The sequence below is a fragment of the Homo sapiens genome, chromosome 5 (assembly GCF_000001405.40).
Source record: "Homo sapiens chromosome 5, GRCh38.p14 Primary Assembly".
NCBI lineage: Eukaryota > Metazoa > Chordata > Mammalia > Primates > Hominidae > Homo > Homo sapiens.
This window is the reverse complement of record NC_000005.10, coordinates 6,407,166-6,412,452: the sequence shown is the minus strand read 5'-3', so window position 1 is coordinate 6,412,452 and position 5,287 is coordinate 6,407,166. Positions and strand designations below refer to the sequence as shown.

Genomic DNA, 5,287 nt, shown 5'->3' with positions numbered 1-5,287 from the left:
TTGCTGTAGAGAAGTAAAGGTGCCGTGAGCACAAGGGCTTGGCCCAGGAGGTGGGGAGGATGATGTGGTGGAAGCGTTTCTCGCAGAGATCTCTGGTTTGCTGTGACTCAAGGACCTAGAACAAGTGCAGAAACCCGCAGGTCATTGGAAACGTCAATCAGGAGAGGTGGTCTGGGAACAACTAGGGCCCAAAGTATTTAAAACTGCTACTAAGAGGAGGCACTTTTAGCCCTGGGGCATTTTGGGAGGAGTCCCCCCCCCATCCCCCACCCACCCCTGCCATCTGATTTTGGAGATAATTTCAGATGTTGTTCGGAGAGGAAAAATTCTACCCAGAAGAGAATGGGGGTGAGAGTTAGTCTCTGATTCTCACCTAAGGCTGCACATCAGGATTAACTAAGAACTGATAATGCAAACAATCTAAAACAATTAAATGAGAACCTTTAGAAATCTCCCGGGTTTATTTTCAGGCGCCGTCAGAGCAGTGAACCCTGTGCTAGAACTACCCTCAGAGAGAAAGGGATTTCAGGGCCTGGAAGACAGCGCAGCGCCAGGTTCGGGAGGAGCCCAGGCTCAGAGCTTTGGGATTGCTGTGGGCCAGGAGTTCTCGAACTTTACCGCCCATCAGAATCCCTGGGGCATTCCGAAAAGCCCGATGTCCACACCACACCTCACAGAAACGGAATCACAATCTGTGGCGATCGACTTGTTAGCATTTTTAAAATTTATTTTTTAAAAAATTCCCAGTGAGAGGTCAAGCATTTTGAAAACATATACAGGCGAGTTGGAGAACCAGGGTCCTAGACCGGGGTTCTCACACGTGAGGGTGGGTCGGTGCGACCCGGAGCGGGAGTTCATTCACAGATGGCTTGGCCCCACCTCCAGAGTTTAGGATTCAGCGGGCCTAGAGGAGGGGCAAGAATTTGCATTTCTGACAAGTTCCCAAGTGGTGCTTCTGTTGCAGGTCCTGGCACACCCTTTGAGAACCATGGTCAGGGTCCAGCTGACCCTCCTGGTCTCATCAGCCTGAGTGCGTGCTGGTTCCTGCCGGCACCGAACGAGGCACCCAGCGCCGACCAGGCCCATCATGCCGCAGCCCTGGGTTGCTGCTCTGAGGAGTGAGTCATGGTCCTCCTGTGGCTTCATGGAAAGCACACGTGATCCCTGGTTAGGTGCCTCTTGGGGGTTCCCGTCTGTCATCTGCCTTCATGGACCCTGCTGTGGCTGTGACTGAAGAGCGAGCAGAGCCAAGCGGAAGCAAGCCGTCGGAAGGACAGCCGCCTTCCAGCCACAGGGAGCCCACACCACCCGCGGGAAAGGAGACAGCCAAAGCCTCTAACAGACAGAAGGATTTATTCTGGGCGCTTATGTCTGAGAACCCCTTTCCCCCAACCCTTTAGAAAATCAAGCAAGGGTTGAGTTATTCAGGATAAGAAGTAGAGATAAATTATTCAACCAGTTAGTTTGACATTTAAAAGGCTATTTATAAAAATGATCATTTCTCAAGAAAATAAAAATAGTGAGAAACTCAAAATTGGCAGTTCTAGCAGAGGGAGATATAATATTATGCAGAAAGCATTTTCGAGGTTTCCTGAAAACATATTTTGGGTCTATTCAGTGTTATTTCTCCTCACTGACATTCGACTAATCCTCAGGCAAGATTCCTTAATCCTAAACCTTCTTTTTCACCTTGTCAATTTAAAAAAATGCTTATTTGTTCATTATTATGTCCACGCCAACGCTGGCATCAGATAATTCTGGAGGGGGCTGGCTCCCCACAGCTCCCCGGAGCTGCACGGTGGAGGAGGAAGAACTGGCAACTGTGTTTTCCACGTGTGGGTGTTTCGTGGCATTACACCGGAAGTTACGTGGCACTGCACACATGGGAGAACTCTTTTTAGCTCTTGATTCCAGTAGGAGGTGACTCTTCCCCCCAGAAAATGAATTTAAATCTCTTCCCTCCCTCCACATTGCCCCATGCCTGGTTGCAGTTTATTGAGGACACAGCTGACAAAAGCATCCACCCTCCAGAGAGATATCAGGTGGAGAATGCCTGGATGGGAGCGAGAGACCTGGAGCACCATGGTGTTCATTATTTCAGTTAACACGTGAAGGCCAAAACTCCCATGGCCAACAGGCGTGGGGCCACCAGGCAGTAGCATCCTCCCAGCCAGTCCAGATCATGGGAGTCCACATCGGTATGGGCCACCACTCAAGACCCAGCTGGATGCTGTCCATCCTGCTTTATGACTACAGTCAGTCCTTGAGGGAAAAGAAAATGACAATTCTTATCAGAACCCATAGTATATTATCCATGGTGCCTGTGAGCAGTACATAGAGTCCATTAATACATCAGTGGCCTGTGGGCCAACCATCCTCAACTTAACTTTGGTTGGGTTTATAAAGCCTCAAGTTAAAGAATCCCTTTAGGTATTGTAAATATGGATACTTTACCGGGGGAGCTCCTGCATGACTATCATGCCCAAGATTTGGTTGCTGGGACCATCTAATGCCAGTATCTCCTGTATTGCACATTTATCCCATAGGCCCATGTGCACCTGGATGGCAGGTACAACAGGACGACCCTTCTCTCCCAGGCCTGAAGTGGGCTAGACCCTCCTGGACATTGTGTGTCAGATTCTCCCTTTCTCTTGCTGAGCATGTAGCTGTTTTGTACCCTAAAGGAGATATTGCAAGGTTCTAGCCAGCGCCTTATTCTTTAATAAACTTTTTGTTTCGGAATAATTTTAGATTTGTAGAGAATTTGCAAAGATAGCACAGGGTCACACAGGGATGGTTCCAAAAGTGAGCACATTCCTAAATTCACACTCCAGCACCTCAGTTACCTACTCCTAAATCTAGCTACATTCCCGCGTATCCTTCACCTAGCTTCCTCTCATGCTCCCATCTAACGTGACCATCGTGCTTTTGCTACAGCTAAGAGATGAAGGTTCGTGCATTCCTATGATCCAAACACTAGACTTCATTTGGATTTCACTCATTTTTCTACTTATGTCCTCTTTCTCATCCAGGATCCCACACTGCTTAATCTTAGTTTGTTTGTGCTGCTGTAACAGAATATCTAAGACTGGGTAGCTTATAAATAACAGAAATGTATCTCTCACTGTTCTGGAGGTTGGGAAGTCCAAGATCACAGCGCCAGCAGGTTCTGTTGTCCAGTGAGGGCTGCTCTCAGCTTCCAAGGAGGCATTTTGTTGCTGCATCCTCCAGAGGGGAGGGACGCTGTGTCCACCTGTGGCAAAACAGCAGAAGAGCAAGCTAGCCAAATGCTGCACGAAGCCTCTTTATGGGGGCCTTAATCCTATTGACAAGGGAGAAACCCTCATGGCCTAATCAACCCTTAAAGGCCTCACCTCTTGATACTATCACATTGGCCATGAAGTTTCAACACCTGAATTTCGGAGAGGACACATTCAGACCACAGCATTGGTCATGCCTCTTTAGTCTCCTGTGGTCTGTGACAGTTTCTCAGCCCTTCCTCGTTGTTTTTCCTGACCTTGACACTTTTGAGGAGTGCTGGCAAGGCATTTTGTAAAATGTCCTTTCATTTTGCTTCTCTGTTGTTTTCCTCCTGTTTACACTGGGTTTCTGGGTAATTTTTGGAAAAAATACCACGAAGGTGAAGATTCCTTTGTATTGCATCATGTCATGGACATGACATCACTGGGGATGATAACCCTGACCTTTTGGGTTTGGGTGGTGTCTGCCAGCTTCCTCCGCTGTCATGTTACTACTTTCCCTTTGCTCTGCTCTTTGGAAGTGAGTCACTAAGTGGAGCCCACACTCAATGGGGCAGGGGCGGTGTTAAGCTCCACGGATGGAGGGGAAAGTTCACATACATTATTTGGCTTTTTTTTGAGAGGTGGGTCCACATGTCCCCTGAATTTATTTTTTTGCCAACAGATAACGAAAACATCAGTAAGGCAGAGAGCTCTTGTTCAGTGATGACATGACAGATGTTAGTGTCTGGTGTCTGGATGGCCAGTGCTACAGGAGTGGCCGTGGTACCCCAGATGATGGGGCACCTAACCAAAGGCAAGAGGTGGAGCTACGTGAGCCTGATCAGATGATCTGCTGACCTCAGTCCTGTTTTGGAGAGCTGCACTGACCACTAACCAGGAAACGAGGCTCTGCCCCAGCCCGAGACCTGCTGCCAGGCCTTGGTGGTGTCAGGGAATGGGAAAGCTCCCTGGCAATACATAGACAGTCATAATTAATGGAGACATCACAAGACAGTTTCCTGAATGAAGGTAGAAGTGACAACCTCCTCTTCAAGGCTATAATTAAAGAAGCAGTTGAGAAATGTTATCTTTCCAATCCTGCATATTCAAACTTATCTGTCACAAACATATTGTTAAACTCCCCCTTAGGTCTCGGTTGTCACTTTCAAATGCCTGCTTGCAGCCACGGTTTATTATGCCTTTACTCTTGAGTACTTTTACAGAGCACTTATGCCTTTCGAAGGGCTATCTAGGTCTTCCGTAGGAGGGTGAGGGTTCAAAGCAAAGCAAATCCACCTTAGGTCTTTTATCAATTGTTCCAGGTACCTGTACTGGGAACAATCTCGTAAAAAGCCCAGCTTTTTTAGATGCATTTTCTTCCTGTTAGGTTTTCACATGGGAAGATCAACAGTGTTACCAAAAATGGACTGGAGTCTATAAGTCATTAATTGAGCTCTGTCCAGGGTGCCTAGGATTTTGTTTCTCTCATTTAAAATATTTTAATGCAGTAGCTTTTACTTGTGATATTTATTTATTGTTGAATCTCTTCAGAAGAGGAGAAGCACTTTTCACCCCCATGGCCAGATCTGTGCCTATAATCTCTGGAAGGAGAAGAGGGAAGGAGACTCGAATTGCATTTGCAGGGTCAGCACAGGACTGAGCCATCGTTTCTTTTTGTTGCAAGTTTGTGATGTTCAGATGACACGAGGCAGGATTTGTGCCTTGTTGCTGCTCAGGGCTGGCGACACCGTGGGTATTCCATTATCGTATTGTAATCACAAAGAAAGCAACGTGGTGGCTCCGAATTCACGCCTGCTGGATCAATACTGCTTGTCTGGTCTGATTTGTTTGTTGTTGTCAAGTCAGACTGCTCTGGAATTGGAATATTGAGGGGAATGCATTTCAGACATAATCGTGGGAAATCCTCAAAGAAGCCACCCTGATGAGAGAGCAGAAAAACTTCTGGATAAGATCTGCCAAATAGCTGAAGTTACAGTGTCTGAGGGGCTTATTTATTTCATCCCCAGGATCTGTTAATTACTTCC

The 5,287-nt window shown here is 47.2% G+C and overlaps 1 long non-coding RNA gene across 1 annotated transcript, besides 2 other annotated features; it reads right to left on the bottom strand.

Moving 5' to 3' along the window:
* Positions 1 to 706: 706 nt before the first annotated feature.
* Positions 707 to 3,253, bottom strand: LOC124900933 (uncharacterized). Its single transcript, XR_007058678.1, has 2 exons — positions 3,126 to 3,253; positions 707 to 2,262 (listed from the first exon to the last, which is right to left on the bottom strand). It is a non-coding gene; the product is annotated as an uncharacterized LOC124900933 (long non-coding RNA).
* Positions 3,073 to 4,272: an enhancer, noted in NCBI's record as "BRD4-independent group 4 enhancer chr5:6408294-6409493 (GRCh37/hg19 assembly coordinates)". NCBI's record gives its function as "activates an origin of replication core promoter dependent on BRD2, P300/CBP, MED14 and CDK7 cofactors, and independent of BRD4, by STARR-seq in HCT116 cells {active_cell/tissue: HCT116}" and the evidence as "EXISTENCE:reporter gene assay evidence [ECO:0000049][PMID:35650434]".
* Positions 3,583 to 3,877: an enhancer, noted in NCBI's record as "tiled region #12563; HepG2 Activating non-DNase unmatched - State 10:DNaseD, and K562 Activating DNase matched - State 5:Enh". NCBI's record gives its function as "activates a minimal TATA promoter and a strong SV40 promoter by Sharpr-MPRA in HepG2 and K562 cells {active_cell/tissue: HepG2 | K562}" and the evidence as "EXISTENCE:reporter gene assay evidence [ECO:0000049][PMID:27701403]".